The following is an 18,900-nucleotide window of genomic DNA, read 5'->3' as shown; positions in this document are numbered from 1 at the left end:
AGAATACATCTCTGGGAGAAGTGGGTCACCTACGGAAAAATCACATATTTTTATCATATTTATGTTAATACAATATTTTATTATAAAGAAATGTCCCTTTGTGATTGGAAAATCAAATGACATAAAAATAAGTTTGACAAAAAATAGCATTTTGGGGTCAAATTTATAGGTTCTGAAATAGTAAACGACCTCTGTAGGTGGCACTGCTTCCATCAGGCAAGTACTTCTAAAAGTTATTTGGTATCTTACAGAATGTCCGAGAGGACCAGGTATCAAATGTGAATGCTATAGAGCCTAAAATAGGAGCAATACCTATGACACGCCTAAACTAATTTAATGGAAATCCGATTGCTGGTTCTACTAGTTACTTGAGTCCATGAAGTCAGGAATCAACAGCTAGCACTTTTTCTATGGCTGATGCAGCAAACCCAACAACTCAATGAGGCTATGCTTGCCAGAACTCCTCAGTCACACAATATTCACGTTTGTCTTTCCTGTCTGCTAGAAAGAGAGAAAGGAAGCTGGTCATATGTTTACACCTAATGTTGAGGAGGTTGGTCAAATGTTTACACCTCAAGTCAGTGGAGCCTGAGAATAATAATTTAGGAATTCTACTTAGGGAAGGCTAGATGCGTGATACTGGTGAACCGCCAGAATGGGGAAGGGATTTCAAAAGTTGGGGGCTGCCATAAATGGCTGATACATTCTAAAAACTATGTGTACATTTTTATCTAATAATCTTTTTCTAATATCTTTGAAATTTTTATTCCATTAATGCTTACATCCCCAAAGGGCAAAATTGTACCTGCAAAAGCGTTTAATTGTATCATTTAAAAGGTACCTACTTCTCTTCTCCCAGTAGCAGGCAAAAAGAAAGAAATAATGTCAACCTGCTTACTTATTTTCTACATATGTTTAAACCAGGATATATCAGTTATATTAACAATTTTAAAAGTTATGCAAAAGTTTCTAGTAAAGGTAATTCTTCATTTTATGGTTCTGTATCTTAAGAAATTCTTTCAAGTGGAACTCATTATTGCTGTCGTATTTCCTAATTAATTGTAAATACAGAGTGCTGGAACAGATGCTATAGGTGCGGACTTTATGATGACTTTCACCACATGTACATTGGTCATGTTGAAAGTTTAAAATGCCTTGGTCAGTTGCTTAATTTAGTTCTATTTGAGAAGATAAAGATCACTTAATTGTGAAATATACAAAGACTGAAGGGAAGTTGGAAGTATGGGGTAGTTCACTCTAGCATGTGAAGCATATCCTCTCAAGAGGAGCAATGGGATTATCTTTGGATTTTGTTATTATTGATTGCTCTCACTCCAGCAACAAAGAGCAGGTACTCTACAGATTTGATATAGCAAATGGTTAAAACAAAGATTGTATCTTCCTCCCTGGTCTACTTAATAGGTACCCACAAAGTTGGAAAAAATAAAAGAAAAGCTATCCCCTCTTTTTCTAAAAGAAAGCTGTTTTCAGCTAGCAATCCTGTAGCACACTCAAGAGATAGCATTACGTGGATAATGTAGAAGTATCATACCTCTCAAGTAAATGGACACTTATCCCATGCAGCCATGAAAAGGTAATTGGAGTCCAAAGTGTAAAGTATAATGGAAGGTTATTGAGGCATTTTGAAATGGTTTGGGCTGGATTTTGCACTACACATGTGATAACATTCTTTATGGCCTGGAATCTTTTGTGTAAGTTTGCTTTTAGAATTTAATAAGCCTACAGATAGGAAATTTGGAAGTTATTTGTTCCCTCTCAAGAATCCAAATATGTTACCTCTCTGACCCCCAGGGAAACTGATACTACTAAATGAGAACCATTTTAGTATTATTTTGGTTATTTTTAGTTACAGCATTTAAAAAAACAATAAATAAGGCAGTCTGCCTTTGGCATTTCTCTCAAATGATAGGATTTGAGCTCCCAAAACTGGGGGCTGAAGAGCTCTGATGAAAAGGTCAGAACTGCAGCCATGTATCCAGGAATTCCAGCCCCTTAGTTTAATGAACTGAATTGTACTTTCATAAGATCTAAATCATAAGCATTACTTTAATAGCTACCATACAGAAATAGATGAATCCCTTCTTGAAAGGGATCAGAGAATGTATTAATTTGTTATTGCTTTTTGCCTAAAGATATTCTAAGCCTAGCATCATTTAAGATATAGAAAAACCATAGCTGTTGAATTTCATTAAATTTCCTTGTGCCCATTTCTAAGACTATCTAAATCATCATGCATTGATTATCTACTATTCACTCTTAACTCAGTAGAAGAAGGAAAGAGAACTATGTGAACAGGTGCCGGGCAGTGCATGGGGCTCCCTGCATGCATCGTCTCTACTTGAATCCAGGTTTAACATGAGCTGAACATAGAGATAATTTGTTTTTCTTTTTATTATATTTGTGATATGTGATTATTTGTGAAAACTTAAGGAATACAAAAATCACAAAAAAGGAAACTGAGTTTTCTCTGAAACTCAGAACCTTACCTGCACTCTTGACCCAACTGCTCAGAATTCTTGTGGGACTTGGATAAATTACTCTCTTTTCTCGTTTCAATCATTTTCTTCACTCTTTTCCCACTTCAGCCTACAGGTGTTCTCTAATCCTCCAAACACTAACAACAGTTTTTGTTCCATTAAAAAGAAAAATCTCTTGTTGATTCTGAATTTCTCCTCCTTTCTCCTTACTACCAAACTTTTGGAGGTTGTTGTCTACAGCCCATTTTGATTTAATGCTTCTGATTCATGCCTCGATATAGAGTAGGCTAGCAATTCTTTTCACACTCAATGAAAACTGTTCTTATAAAAGTTACAAAAGTCCATCTAACTGCCACATAGCTCTTATTCCTTCTCTTATTTTTCCACCTTGTAGACTGTGGTACATCCTAAGAAAATTTTGCTTTAGTTTTTTTTTTTTTTTTTTAATATACTCCTTTTCCTAGTTCTCCTTCTTATACTTTCATCGTTGGTTCTCAGACCTGGTGATATGGTTTGGCTGTGTCCCCAGCCAAATCTCATCTTGAATTTTAGCTCCCATAATCCCCACATGTAGTGGGAAGAACCTGGTGGGAGGTAACTAAATCATGGGGGTAGGTTTTTCCCATGCTGTTCTTGTGATAGTGAATAAGTCTCATGAAATCTGATGGTTTTACAAAGGACATTTCCCCTGCACACACTCTCTTGCCTGCCACCATGTAAGACATGCCTTTGCTCCTACTTCACCTTCCACCATGATTGTGAGGCCTCCTGATCCATGTGGAACTATGAGTCCATTAAACCTCCTTTTCTTTACAAATTACCCAGTTTGGATATGTCTTTATTAGCAGCATGAGAAAAGATGAATACACCTGGCTTCTTTTTCTAATCAAGTATCTTAAGTATCTTATATATTGATATATCCCCTATTCTCCCATTTCTCCTTTGTCTCAGAATCTAACTCTAATCGATGTCATTTATTGCCATGTCTCTAATCATCAATACCATTCTCTATGCCAGAAACCTATTCTGAGAAGCACATTACTCACTTGGATACTTAATGAATAACTCATGTATACAATGTCCCTAATATATTATTTTGTGAAACATATTGAGGCTGCCCTTTTCCAGATGCCCATTCCTAAACATGTTTTGACTTCTTCCTGCTTTGAAAAGAGTCAAATTACATGGAGCTATAGTTCTTGTATAGTCCCCAAGATTTTAATCTTAAGGCCAAAGACAAGCATAATAAGGAGAGTGGATTCAAAAGATGAAAAGAGCCTATATCTCCAAAGGCATCACTGAATAACAGGACCACTTCCAACACCTGACAGTATCTGGACTTCATTTATGAGAACAAAACAAATCTTTATTGTTTCCACAGAAAAGGCAAGGCAGGGCAGAGTAAATAGTTTAGAATTGGCTGGTTTGAATAATTTCAGCAGGGCTGAAGATGTTACAATGGTGCCTATTTGCCTGCTACCTGGTACTGGGATGATTAAGGTGAGAAACAGTGCTGCTTAGAGAGTAGGGCCAGGCAGAGAAGGGAATGGCTCTGGATTGGTTAGTTTGTATAACAAAAGCATGCTCTGGCTTTATTCTTCACTATCTCTTAGCTGTCCTTGGGAGAAGTTGTATTTCCCTAGCTGGAAAAACTTTTGAGATGTCAAAACATCACAATATACAGAAAACAAAAAATATAAACAATAAGAAATCAACTACTCCATGCAAATAATTACAAAATGAACTGAAAGTTGGAACTAGTAAAGGAGTGTCAACAGAAGGTAGAAATTTTACAATGATGCTTGAGAGAGTGATATAAAGAGCGCAGGAAAAATAAATGTTAGCACAGAACTGTAGTTATGTTAGTAAATTGAAAGCTAAGATACTGATGAAAGAAGCTGATGTTTGGATGCTACAACTCTAGAAGTATAGTGGTATGTCCTATGGTGGTTTGAGTATTTAATTCTACATGTTACAATCAGAAAGGAATTGGACATTTAGAAAGGAAGCTAGTCCCAGCTACTCGGGAGGCTGAGGAAGGAGAATTGCTTGAACCCCGGAGGTGGAGGTTGTAGTGAGCGGAGATCATGCCACTTCACTCCAGCCTTGGCGACAGAGCAAGACTCTGTCAAAAAAAAAAAAAAAAAAAAAAAAAAAAAAAAAAAAAAAAGCTAGCCTGGAAAATGTCTCTTAGAGCTATTCTAAGAGAATCACTTTTAATTCCTTTCAAGTATAACAATGAAGAGCAGTTCCTGGCTTCCTCCCTTTAGAGAGTAATCACAGGGGAAATAAATCAATCCTCTCATTGCTTTACTGAGTCTGGATTTTGGAGCTCACCTGAGAATAAAAAGTTTGACCCTGGTGGAAGTGGGAGGTGAGACACATAATATAAGCAGCGTTCCAGAATAAAAAGATCACAGGAGGCACCAAAGTTGGGTTATTCACGACCTAGAGACTATTTTACACTATGACTTCACAACTTGAGTTTTAGGATCAATTTCAAGGAAAGAAGCAACTTTAGTTTATAGACTCTGATGTGTCATATATACTTACAAAGTATTCTCTCTTAACCCCACACATTAAAGTGAGAGCTGTATTATTTGTATCCAGAGAGCGTGCAAGAAACACAAAGTTTAGCTCCAAAAAATGCGCTGGTCTTTGTCCTGCTGAAACATTTTAGGATTGGCTAGGATTGGCCTATTGATTTATTGTTTAGGAAGAATAAAGTAGCAAGAAAGGGATAGGGCAAACAGCCCAGGAGACCAAAGCTTTTGATTTATTGACAAAACAAGTGTAGGCTTCTGGCCACTCTCAAAGCGACACCTTTAGAAACCAGAGTTTGTTTCTATTCTGGCTAACCTTGAGGACAAGTGAGTATGTCTGTTCTCCAAATCTTAGAGCCTAGTGAGGGCTGGAATCAGACACAGATCCGCCATTAATGAACAGTGAAGAGTTCTATGCTACTTTTATAGCAGTGAGACACAGTTTTTCTAATCAGCTGAGAAACTAATTTCTACCTTAATTCCAGTAAAATGAATAGGTGCTTTTTCATGGATAAGTTCCCAATAAAAAAGCTCATGTGGTATTGCTAGGGCTTCGGTGTTTGTCCCCTCCAAACCTCATGTTGAAATTTGATCTCAAGGTTGCAAGTGGAGCCTGATGGTGGGTGTTTGGGTCATGGGGGGCATATTCCTCATGCATAGATGAGTGCCTTTCCTCAGGGGTAAATTAGTTCTCATTCTATTAGCTCCCTGAGAGCTGGTTGTTAAAAAGAGCCTGGTACATCCTCTCTCTCTGGCTTCCTCCCTTGCCATGTCTCTGCACACTCTAGCTTCCGTTTGCCTTCTGCCATGAGTGGAAGAAGCTCAATGTTTAATTGGTTTGCGACTCTGAAAACTAGAAGGTTTATGACTGGGCATTTCTCACCCAATGCCCAATATTGAACTTTCTAGTTGTCAGAGTCATTAACCCATTAAACCTTTTTTCTTTATGAATTACCCAGTTTCAAGTATTCCTATATAGCAGCACAAAATGGACTAAGACAGGTATGTATATCATAATAGCTTCAAAAAGAGTGTAATTTATATTCTTTAAGTATTTGAAACTTTGAACTTTACAGTTTATGAGTATATCTGTAATTATAAGAAGGATTTAATCACAATAAGCATTGTTTTTGAAACTTTGTAATAAGCTTAACCCCTTTAGACAAATTAAAAGTAATCATTATTAACATTTTCCCTGGAGTTTTCCTGTAGCCATGTTTACTCTTTCCAAATTTGATGCCCTAAAGATAAAATGACATAATAGCTGAGGACACATGCTCTGCTGTTAGACTGCCTGAGTTTTAATCTTGGTTTAAATACTGTACTTACTGCCTGTGTAACCCCAATCAGGTATGTAAGTTCTCTGTGCCTCCATTTTCTCATCTGTAAAGTGTGACTAATAATATCTCTTCTTAGGGCTACTGAAAAAATTAGATAAGCTAACATAGGCAAAAGTACTTGGTACATAATATAGTACTTGGTAACTGTTTATTGCAATTATCAGTTTCTGAGAATTATTTTATAAAATACCTGAGTAAAATCAATTGTATTAAAGCTCCACAGCAGATCAATTCTGTGGCAGTAGAGGTAAGGCTATAAGATGGAACCTTAAATTTAAACTATATTCTGGGAGTGAGTAGGGTTGGTGATTTCTCCAAACAGTGGTGAGGTGGAATTTGCAAAAGAATGAGTGCTGGATGGATAAAAGACTGATTTTTTTCTACATTTGAAATACCAAAATTAGTGTCTAAATTATTGTTATCTCTTCAAACATTAGTTTATATTTTGTGATGTTTTAAAAATTGTTTAGGAGTCTAGTCCATTCTTACATGTTATGTTCTTGAAATGATTATTTTGTATGATACTGTGTTGCTCTCCATTTTGACTTAGTTTTTGTCTTATACAGGTAAAATCAGTCTTCCCCAGACCAGACAATCTGTTCATTCCAGCCTTCCAAGCTAACCCAGTGCTGCTATAATTGGTATCTTGGAATAGCCTTGAGTATGTGGACTTATACAACCACAGTCTAGTATATTACCATGCATTAATAAAAATAGCCCTGTATTTCTATGGAAGAGAGAGAAAAATACCCAGGGTAATCTTTAATATACTGAATTTCCACTTTGTCAGCTACATGTGGTATTCCTGTTATTTAGAATTATTTTTTTCTGTTAAACTGGACATAACAGATTGTGTGTATGTGTGTGCATGCCTGAGAGAGAAAGAGACAGAGACAGAGAACGAGAGAGACTTAAATTTCTCAGGACATTGCAGGTATTGTCTTCTGCACCAAGATACATCCAAAACAGTCAGGTCCATTAAACCAACATGGATACTCACTCTTTTATTCATTTGATGAATAAAATAAAAGAGTTATACTAACTCTTTTATTCCATTTGATGATATGGTATGGATACCTGTTTACTCTATTAGGCTTTTACTTTGCATTGAAATTGAAGCAACATAACATCAGTTTCCTTAGTATCGTGTTTGACTTGCCTATGCAATTATTTTCACATAAACACACTTAGATTTTTTGAAAATATCTATAAAGTTATAATTGTTTCAGCAACAATTTCCTGAGTGTACAATATATCTTTATATTTGTATAGCAACATTTTGAAAACAGTATGGCTGATTTACATTTCCCTGAAAATCTTGAGTATCAGAAAATATTCCTTTAAGCCCTCTCAATGATTTTGGGAATAGTAGATCTTCAGTTATTATATAGGTACATTCCAAGAAAGAAAGCAAAAGGGCACATGTTTCTCAGAAGCACTTTCATTTTGACAGATTTTATTCTCCAGAGATGATTGTACAGTATCTCCCATCCACACACTCTTCTGAAATGTTTCCTTGACTTTAACCCACCAAAAAGTAGAGCTGAATTTTCCATCCCATTGAATCTAGTAAGCCCTGTGATTGCTTTGACCAACAGAGTATGGCAGAAGTCAGAGCCAGCTTATCTACCAGACAAAGCTAGCACAGTGCCTAGGGCTTGTGATACTGTTAGGGGCCCATGAAAATATTTTCATTTTTTAAATCAGAAAAAAACTAATTTTTTGTTTTAAGAAAATGCTTGAATATATACGTACATTTTCATCTTTATATCAATACTGTCATAAAATATAATTATATATTTCAATTTTATGTGCGTATTTATTTGTTTAATATGTCTTAGGAAAATGTTCGTGTTCACTTAAGTAACAAAAGATCTTAAGAAAAGGTGTATTACTTGAATTATAAAAGATCCCAGAAAATTCATTTCTTTTTCAAAGGGTTAGCTAAAATTTTGAAGTGATTAAGCATTTAAGTATTTTTTTTTCAATTCTACAGCCATTTTGTTAACTCCAAAGACCCATTCAAGCAACTGAGTAGGCATTCCTGCAATACAGAGTTGAATATTCAGAACCAAGGGCACATGGACAATTCATATAATTTTGATAATCTGAAGGCACAGTCACATAATTATAGGTGGAGACAATTCCATGAAAAGTCCATTATAAATCTTTGATACAGAAGGGAATGAACACTGATTGAATACCTATGCACTTATAACTTGGTATAGTTGAATACTCACAATAACCCTACAAAGTTGGGAGGAAACTGAAGACCACAGAGGTTAAATAATTTATCCAGGACCACCCAGCTTGTAAATGGCAGAGCTGGGATTTGAAATCAGGCCTGTGTGACTTCACAGACTGTATTATTTTCTCTATACCGCTTTGCCTTTACTGAAACACCACCAATCTGTTTTCTGCTTGGTCTGGCAACTTTCAAGTTCAACTTGGAGAAAATAATAGACTTCGCTTAAGAACCCACTGTGTTGTTTCAAATATCTGTTCTGCGGGAAGAAAATCGACTGCTTATCATATTCTAATGGGCAATGGCCCTCACAATATTGACAGCATATTTAGGAGAGAAAGATAAAGATTTAGACAAGATAGTAGAAGGTAATTTTATGTTCATTTTTATAGTTAAGTTAGAAAATAAGCCAAGTGTAAATGACATAATTATAGAAGTATTTACCTTAGTTGAGGTTTCCTTAAAAAAAAATGACCAGACAACTTTCAAAATTGCTGTTAGTATTGTGAAAATTGGTCAATATAATGAGCCTGTATTTTAAAATCCTAGAGGAACAGGGCAACATGGACAAAGCTATAAATTTAAAGCATTTGGTTACTTGTTCTTTTAGAATTCTAGAAATAATACATGCCTCTTCCCCACTCCAGGACACATGTGCACACACATGTGCACGCACACACACAACTAGTGATGAAGACCCACATCCGGGAGGTCAGAATAGGAAAGATGTGGACTCCCTTAAGGATTCAGGTAAAATGGAGGGAAAGGTTGGTCAGGACAGAGTGATGAAGAATTAAGTCATTATGGGGAAATGAACTGTCATCTAGCTTCACAGAAAAATAAAACGCTTTTCTTTTCCACATTAAAACTGAAGAACATATGCCTTCTTACTCTACTTGAAAATGATACCAATTCTGTTAAAGAAAAAACTGAGCTGTGAATTTTTCATTATCTTTGAAAGTAGTTGTACATTTTTGTGGCAGATGAATTTTGTTACAGTATCTCCAGTCTCTGGTATAGCAAGTCTCTCACACAATAAATCTTTTATGACTGGAGAAAACTGTCTGTTTTTTGCCTAAATAAACTTTTTCCCATGAGATGTTCTTCAAAAAGTATAGCAACTTTAGAAACCTTCAGTTGTGGAATCTATTTTAAGTTTTTGGCACAATGAGACCAACTCTTGAATTCGCAAAAGGTAACGTAGGCTTTCACACTCCCTGGAAGAGCTAGCTTTCTTTAGGGGAGGAAGCTACTTCCTGTTTTGTCTGTGAGCAGAAGTACTCTTGCCAAAGTCACTTCTCCCCCACACTTTCCAGCTAGTATTCTCAAGGCTGGGGGCAGATTGTCTTAGGTCGTCACCCTTTTGGATCTTCATTGCTGTTGCTGTAGAAGATTTTTTGCTATAGGAGAGCAGTCTTCTACTTCATTCTGAAAAAAGCAGAAGTAAAGGATTTGGGAAAATGTTCCCTCTTTGAGCGGAAGCATTCTGTAGATGAAGTAACAGGCTAAGAGCAATGCAATTTGAGGCTCTCTTTTTGAAATAAAATCAAAGCGAACCAAGACACAAATATCAGAGGAGCTAAAGCAGTGCTGGTAGGAGAAACCAGGTCTTTACAATTTGAACTGGTTATTATTTTCACAAGACTTTATTTCACAGTGTCGTTACCTTGGTGCTATTGACATCTTGTGCGAGATGATTCTTTGCTGTCGCGACTATTCTGTGGATTGTAGAATGTTTAGGAGCATCTCTGGCTTATGCTCGATAGATACCAGTAGCACCCCCCACCCAGTTGTGATAACTAAAATGTCTTCAGGCAATTGGCAAATACCCCCTGAGGACAGCATCTCCCCACAGCTTATTTTAATTTATACGTAAAGTCTGGCATATTAATATTTATTGAATGAATACATTAACAAGTGAAGGTGATTAAATTGTCTATTCCCATTGCCTGGTATACAGGTGATTACTCAGCAAATAATCATTCTCCCTTCCAGGTGTAATATCTTGCAAGTAAATTTGCTTACACAAGGTAAGTTCCAATGCTTGCCGTGGGAGAGTAGTTCATCTAAAATATATGTTTTCGAATGAAAAAAAATAACTAAGTTCCAGTTGAAATCGGCTATTTGATATAAAATTTGTCTCTGCTCCCTGCTAATAACTCATTAAAACAATAAGGGAATTTTTTTTAATATATATATTTTCGGGCCGGACACGGTGTCTCATGCCTGTAATCCCAGCACTTTGGGAGGCCAAGGTGGGCGGATCACCTGAGGTTAGAAGTTCAAGACCAGCCTGGCCAACATGGTGAAATGCCGTCTCTACTAAAAATACAAAATTAGCCGGGCATGGTGGCGGGCGCCTGTAATCCCAGCTGCAAAGGAGGCTGAGGCAGGAAAATCGCTTGAACCAGGGAGGCAGAGGTTGCAGTGAGCCAAGATTGTGCCACTGCACTCAAGTCTGGGCAGAAAGAGCGAAACTCCATCTCAAAAAAAAAAAAGAAAAAGAAACATTTTCAGAAATGGGGAAGGAGATGATAACATTTGGGGAACTAGAAACCAAAAGAACTTTGGCCCATCTGAAAATCTAAATTCTAAGCTGGCCATTGTAAAAGCTGTGAAGCACCATGATTTGCACACACACACATCACATCTCATGAATCCATGGCACTAGATCCACTGGAAGTCAGGAGAAGATAGGCTAATAATAAAAAGATTGGTCAAAAATCTGCTTAATAAGTCTTTAGACTTCAGATCTTCCCTCCAAGCAGTAGGACAACTTTCTGTGATCCTGTAGAAGCCTCAAGATTTATCCTCTAGAAAGGGTAAAACACAAAGATTCGGTACTCGATGAGTACAAGAGGCAACACCAAGTAGTGTTGAAGGCTGTTTATGGAACACGGGGAGATTAAGTGAAAAACTGTCCACACAAATAATGGTGAAATCCTAGCCCTTTCACCCATATAACTCTGAGCTTATATCTTCTCAATGGGAACACAAGAGGCAATGTGGTGTTCTGGATGCTGGAGCCAGTCTGCTGGGTTGTGTGCTAGTAGTTAGCTGTATGACTTTGGACAAGTTACTCAATTTCTCTTCATCTCAGTATGCTCATTTATAACACTGGGATTAAAAGAGTACCTTTCGCATAAATTTTTTGGGATTCAATAAAATATTACCTTGTAAGTACTTGGAACTCTGACATGTAATAAATACCAGGTGTTTATTGTTATTATTATGCCCTGGGATCAGCTTAGCCCAAGAGAAAGGACCTAAAGATGTGTATAGTCATGTTTTTCCAGCATAAAAGTTCAGTCACCTCTCGAAAGACCTACAATTAACAAACTTCATGGGCTACTCCTGGTTTTCAGTTAACTTTCAATTCCCATCTATAAATATCAGTAATTAGCCAAGAAACACTAAACATTGAGAAAGTTCTTTAATATTGAGGTCAGGCATCAAAGCAAACAAAACAATAATATTCAATTTGAAAGAAATGCAGATATTGCATTTATAAAACTTGGAAAATTATTAATATTCTTAGAGAGATAAAATACATTCATGAAGCCAGAACAGGTTGCTATACTGCTATTAAAGAGTATTAACAAGAGCTGTAGGGAATAGAAATATGATTTTAAAATATAAAAAACTCAATAGAAAGTATAAAAAGTAAGTTTTGGGTCTCCCAGAAAATACTGGTTAAAAGCAAAGAAGAGAAAGAGAATTAGATACTCAGACCAGAATTACTCACATCTACGTAAACTGTGGTGTCATGTAACGCTTTAACATGCCTAGCCTATGGTAACTGATAGCAATTCTTAGTACAAGGTAGAACTAAGATATTTTAGTGATAAAAGATCTTTACAAATTACCTTCCATGAATGTTTTTCAGGAAGCTATTGAGCTAAAGTAGGAAAGTATCCAAGAAAGAAAAAAAAAAAACAGCTTCCAAATACCAGAGAGATGAAAGTGAGTTCCAAGTTGCTGATGAAAGAAGGTCTAAGTTAACGGTTTTGTGTCACAACTAGAGAGCAATCAACTCATACTGCTCAAAGCATTTGAAGACTAGTATGGTTCAAAGAAGGTTCATTGCATCACAGATTGACTTGGTGGAATATTTCAGAAACACCTGGCATCTTTAAAATTGAAGTGTTCATAGAGCAATCTCACGAAAGTTGATCATTCTCCCATAAAATAAATTAACCATTTTCTCCATTCATATATTTGAAAGACAATGAAATTATCACAGTAGAATTCATCTGCTAGAAATCTATACTGCTTCTTTCAAAAGTAATGAAAAATTCATGCTTGCTGTCTACTTTTTAAACTATTCTCTGATTTTTTTTCCCTAGAATGGTGGCTTAGCATTTTATTTTGATCCCTAAGGTTTCTCGTCATCAGTTCACAGTAGTTATTTGTGATTCCTGGGCAGTGTGTTATACCTACGCAGTCACATCTTTGTGAAAAGAGCACTCTATTCTCTTTTCATTAATAAATCCTTTTTTCTTCCTGCCCTTGGGAAGCAAGCCCTGAGAGAGAGTTAAGAAAATGTTCCCAGGCCTAAAATTGACTGCCTTGGGATTAAGAGCACAACCTATGAGACAGAGATGGTTAATCTATTAAAGAACATGCAGCTTACAGCACAATAGGTGTCACATAAAAAGTAGAGAGATGGGAATTTCTTTTTTAGTTGTAAATAGACAACTTATAATTGTACAGGGTAAAAAATAATGTCAACATTTATGAATGGAATGTGGAGTAATTAAATCATACTAGTTAACATAACCATCACCTCAAGTACTTAACTTTTTTGTGGTGAGAACATTTGAAATTTACTCTCTCTTCAATTTTGAAATATGTAATACTTTATTCTTAACTATATTCACCACACTGTGCAGTATAACCCAGAACAAGAAAACACATATTTCTCTTGTCTAATCTCTTTTGTACCATTGGGCCATCACTTCCCTGTTCTCTCCATCCCCAACCTCTGTTACCACCACTCTATTCTTTGCTTCTAGAACTTCAATGGTTTTAGATTTTACATATAAGTTAGAATATGCAGTACTTGACAAACTACACCTGACTTGTTTTACTTAGTGTAATGTTCTCCAATTCCAGAGGGTTAGAAATTTCTAAGAACACAGCCTTGTATCTCTCTCCACACAGAGCTGTATCTTTTTTAGTATCTCTTCACTTGCCTTCAATAATTCAAGCATGTTTAAATCTGCTATATTGCCACCAGTAATCTTTGAAATTCTTCCGAAGTCCTCTTGGCTGTAACAGACATGATTGGAAATGTAGTACCAACAAAAGGAAATAGACTATGAGTTGAAACACTTGTCTTTTAGTTCCACTTCTGCCGAATTGTTCTAGGACCCTGGACGAAGCATTTAAACTTCTTGTACTGCTTTATTTGACAAGTAGATGGTAAAGACAACCCAATTTGACTACTTTTATGGTTGAAAAATGAGGTTTAAAATAGCATGTGTATGTATAAGTGTATGCATAAGTGTTTAATATAATGGGTTATACATATGAGATATTATACTCCTCTAAATCCATGTTTTCACCCTCTGAAAAGGCTGGTTCTGAATAATTATCATGTTGATGGTACAAGGAATTGAGTTTAAATCTTAGTTCTTTTGATTTGTTTTTGCTAGTATTTAAAAGGTAGTGGTGTGACTTCAGATTATACAGAAATGAAGAAAATAAGAGCAAGGGCCATAACCTTAAGGGTCAACTCAGAATTTATTAGATATTTTGAGGTTGTAATCATTTCATTTTTAAATTTAACTGAGAAGAAGGTAAATAATAGTCTTGGCAAAGCTAAAATCTGATGTCTGAATCTCTCATTTTCTAACTTTGAGGCAACTGAATGGACTAACTTTGAGGTAAAAAATGTTGATCTCATTGTCAAGGGTCTGTCTTGGCAAGCTAAGTTATTGTAGGTTGAGAAGAAAGGAGACATTGCCTCATTTTATGGAGATTATTGCCTAATTGTGAAGCTGAGGGAAAAACAGTGATGAAGAACAAGGAATTAGCTCAAAGGCCATACAGTCCAGTTGAAGTAGACGTGGATTATGATATGCTGCAGTTTTCAAAAGTATGTTATCTTGTCCCTCGAGCACCAAGCATCTGTAGCTCCTTACACTGTCACACTGTGATGAGAAGTTTCCATCTCTGCTTCTACCGCTTCTTGTTTTTTTCTATGAATAAGTAAACCCTCCTCATGGTTCATGCTCTTGCTCTCAACCACTAAACTCTCCACTCCTTTCTCAGACTCTGGCTTTGCTTTCTTATGGCTTCAACTTTCTTATGCCTGGTAACTTCTTTTTATTTTTTCCTTCTTCCTCTCTCCCTCCCTCCCTTCCTCCTTTCCCTCCTCCCTTTCTCCCTCCCTCCTTTCTTTCCTTCCTTCCTTCCTCCCTTCCGTTGCTTCCCTTTCCTTCCCATTATTTCTGTTCCTTCCCTCCTTCTATGGACATCATTTAGTGGGTACTTCAGCTTCCATGTCACCATTCTGTGACCATTTCTTCGTAAGTCATGTCAAGTTCTTTACAAGATTGGATTGATGGGTCTGTTAATATCTAACATAGAGAAACTTCCCATGGAAACAATTCCAATGTGAGATTTCCCATAGGCCTTTGGCAAACTTAATGATTACTGCCATTGGCTAAGGTGTCCATATTTTGTCTAATTAAAACACGAACAGCTTGGTAAAATTGTGTTTTTTTTAATTTTTCAGAGTATAATTGTGGCATGCAAATTATTAAAAGAATTCTTTCTTACATAATATATAAATGCAGAGCCCGTACATGTTTTTATTATTGATTATAGTTAACTAGTAAACTCCAGCACGAAGCATGTTCCAGTTATAAAATAAAAACATGAATACTTTTTTGCATTTTTCATAAAAATACTGTTTCATTAAATAGTAAAAATACTATGTTATCAGCACTCATATTGCACATTTAACTTTAAAATATGTTTTGAAATTTTTGTCATTTACCTTCCACAGTAATTTTGGTATTATTATTCTCATTTATCAGATGAAGCATTTGAAGCCCAAGAACATTCTATTATTTTCTTTTGAAACTTTCCAACTTTAGGATGTAGGTTTATCTTCTAACTTCTTACTTTTCCAATCAGACCAAAGTGCCTTTTATATTCAATGTTATCTATATGTCAAATGAAATCAGGTTTTAAGATAAACCAGTTTTTCTATATGAATTATAAAGAAGAATAAGTAATAGAATCAAAGTGACTGAAGATGAAGTAAACAAATTTTTATCTCCAAAATCTTTTTTTAAAACTTATCTAATGAGAAATATTGCTTATTTTCTGTCAGGTGAACTTTCTGATGTGGTTCAAAGTAGGTCAGTATACACCAAAAATCATATGTAAGATTTTATTGCAGGCAGAGATGATTAATTCTTTGGGGTCTATTTTAATCATTCCCTTTTTGAAGTGCAGTGACAGTCAATATATTACTCCAAAGTCTCTGCTTTACATAAAGTTGTAGTGTGAAGCTAAATTTTAAAAATGGCAAAATATCACAAGACATGAATGAAAAGGGGCTATTTCTTTCACAGGCAGAATTACAGTTTCAAATGATTATATTAATTCAACCACAGAATACATGGGATTAATTTTTTGATTTCATATTGAGACCTTGCCACAAGCAAAATAATAAATTTTTTACTCTGCAGAAGAAGCTCATTAGCTAAACTTTCACCATAGGGCTTGTGTAATTACCCTTCAGATTACTCCTCAGATGCACTAAATAGGAAAGCGAGAGTTTTCTTCTAATTGGCTGCTGTCAGAGCTGCCACAAGAAATGATAGATGTGGTACAGTTATCAAAATTTTAGCAAAGATGGAAGTTTTTGTTTGCTTTTGATTCATTTCCAAGGACCTACGCACCTTGAATTTGGAATTGATCTTTAGTCATGTGTGAGAAGAGTATTCCATTCACATGCCGACCATAATCAGTACCCATTGCACATCCTGGTGTCTCTGCTGAAATGATTGAATCCTGTAGTAACTGCAATTGCTGATACTATCTGCTGGAAGAGTGTAGTGTAGACAGTAATTGGTTATTGTGAGTAAGAAGATCTGTTCCAGATCATTTCACACCACATGTCCTCAGAGGACCTTCTCTTCTACTTCTTTTAATCTTCTGCTGGTGATTTAACTTTTTAGACCAATTTATGATTTGACTTTTCCTTTCTCCAGCTCTGATTCCTTCATGAAATGAATTGAAAGTACTCTGTGTAACTGAAGGCAAACTTTTAATCAATTGGATTTCAAGGGTGCGGGCTGAGTCTATGCCGTGCAATGACTGGACAGTAAATCACCTACCAGAAGCTGCTAAACTTCACGTGGTGCTCTCCACCAAAATGGCTAGAGAGATCCACCATTGGCAGCACACTCCCTTCAACTTGCTGTTTCTATACTGGAAATTGTTTTATTTGATCCAACCATATCACCGCCTAGGTAGGGTAATGTCTTGCCCAAACAGTGAAGTCTCTTAAGTCCATCTTTGAAATAAAAATTGGCGACATTCTTTTACTGTCATTGTCCTTCTCTCAATTCCCCATCAGGATACCTAACAATCTCCTGTCTGCCTCCTGCTTTCAAGAAGGAGTTATTAGTGATCACTTAAGCAATTGTTAGAATGAATTTCTCTTAACTTTCTCAGGGGCATTTTAATTTGAAGTATTATTTTAACTGTGTCCCAAAAGATTAGCCTCTGTAAAGGGAATCAAGGAATCTTGAGCATTAGTGAGCTGGGAGGAAGGGATTGGGAGGAAGGGGAAGAAAGGTGAGGGGCCGGGTGTAGTGGCTCACACCTGTAATCCCAGCACTTTGGGAGGCCAAGGCGGGCAGATCACTTGAGGTCAGGAGTTAAAGACGAGCTGACCAACATAGTGATACCCTGCCCCTACTAAAAATACAAAAATTAGCTGTGTGTGGTGGTGCACGTCTGTAGTCCCAGCTACTTGGGAGGCTGAGGCAGGAGAATTTCTCGAGCCCGAAGTGGGAGGTTGCAGTGAGCCCAGATTGCACCACTGTACTCCAGCCTGAGGGACAGAGCAAGACTGAAATGAAGAAAAAGAAAAGGAAAAAAAGAGAAAGAAAGGAAAGAAAAGAAAAGAAGGAAGGAAGGAAAGGAAGGAAGGAAGGAGAAGGGGAGGGGAGGGAAGGGAAGGGAAGGAAGGGAAGGAAGGAAGGAAGGAAGGAAAGAAGGAAGGAAGAGGGGAGGGAGGGGAGTGAGGGAGGCAAAAGAGAGAGGAGGGAGGAGAGAACAAGAGAGAGAATATAAGTGACAGCACAACCTTCAGGTCTTACAGACTTCATAGCTGTTTTATATGACTGCTTATTCCACTATAGGCCTTATTATTCCACTATGAGTCCACTGGGACTCATACCACATACTCTTACCATAGCTGGTTGGGGTTAGAGGCCCTGCTCAGTGTGAAGCCATATTATAAGACAAAGAAAAATGGTCCATGTGGACATGATACCTAAAACTCTCATTTTATCAGGACTTCATTCTGAGGTAAGTAGATCTACCAAGGAATAATAAACAGATCTAGTCATTATGAAGTTCACAAAGTTAACAAGGGGTTATCTGATTTTCTCCTAAAAAAATCATGATTTGCCAGAAGAAATGCATTTGAAGATTCTACTCCTCCAGACACTTATCTCCCCCTCATCTTTTTCTATGCCTCTACTTCTGTCTATCTCTCTGCCACTCCATTCCCCTTGTTGTCTTTACTGAGCATAATATTTTTATAAGCCTCTTTTGACTTTAGATATTTGTGTGGATTGATGATAATGTGAGAAGTAGTGCAGTAAATATCCAGATTAATCAGAAAGTAGTCACCTAGGGCAGCATTTTTCATTTTAAGCAACAACTAGAACACAGGTGGCCTTTTTAAATGCCCATAGTTGATTAATGAAATGCAAGATTTATTGTGAAATGCATGGAGGGCCCACCAGAGGATCTCCCCTCAACTTCCCAGGGAGAGCAAGAAAGTGCTTTTTGTATTGCACTAAAGTGATTAATTTTTAAGTAGGGACTAACTCTCCTGTCTCTCTTTATTTATGCAGCCTAGGAGAGTCTATTCTCCTGATGTAATAATGATATTACCTTACATTTACATAGCGCTTTATGCTTTTTGAAGTACTTGAAGATGTACCATTTCACCTTATCCTGACAGCCACCCTCAAAGACTAGTGAGGAGGCTTCATTCTCTTTCCTTCATGAATGAG

The 18,900-nt window shown here is 36.6% G+C and overlaps 1 long non-coding RNA gene and 1 other non-coding gene across 3 annotated transcripts; both read left to right on the top strand.

Annotated features, from left to right (window-relative positions):
- The first annotated feature begins 5,875 nt into the window (after positions 1–5,875).
- Positions 5,876–5,969, top strand: MIR4431 (microRNA 4431). Its single transcript, NR_039630.1, has one exon. It is a non-coding gene; the product is annotated as a microRNA 4431 (primary transcript).
- A 2,195-nt stretch (positions 5,970–8,164) lies between these two features.
- On the top strand, positions 8,165–17,188 carry LOC105374598 (uncharacterized). Of its 2 annotated transcripts, none has more exons than XR_001739462.2 (4): positions 8,165–8,994; positions 9,274–9,376; positions 12,513–12,589; positions 16,858–17,188. It is a non-coding gene; the product is annotated as an uncharacterized LOC105374598 (long non-coding RNA). The 2 variants fall into 2 exon arrangements; XR_940084.3 differs by having other exon boundaries at positions 9,274–10,656.
- Positions 17,189–18,900: the final 1,712 nt, after the last annotated feature.

Source organism: Homo sapiens, chromosome 2, assembly GCF_000001405.40.
Source record: "Homo sapiens chromosome 2, GRCh38.p14 Primary Assembly".
Taxonomy (NCBI): Eukaryota; Metazoa; Chordata; class Mammalia; order Primates; family Hominidae; genus Homo; species Homo sapiens.
This window is presented reverse-complemented; position numbering and strand designations above follow the sequence as displayed.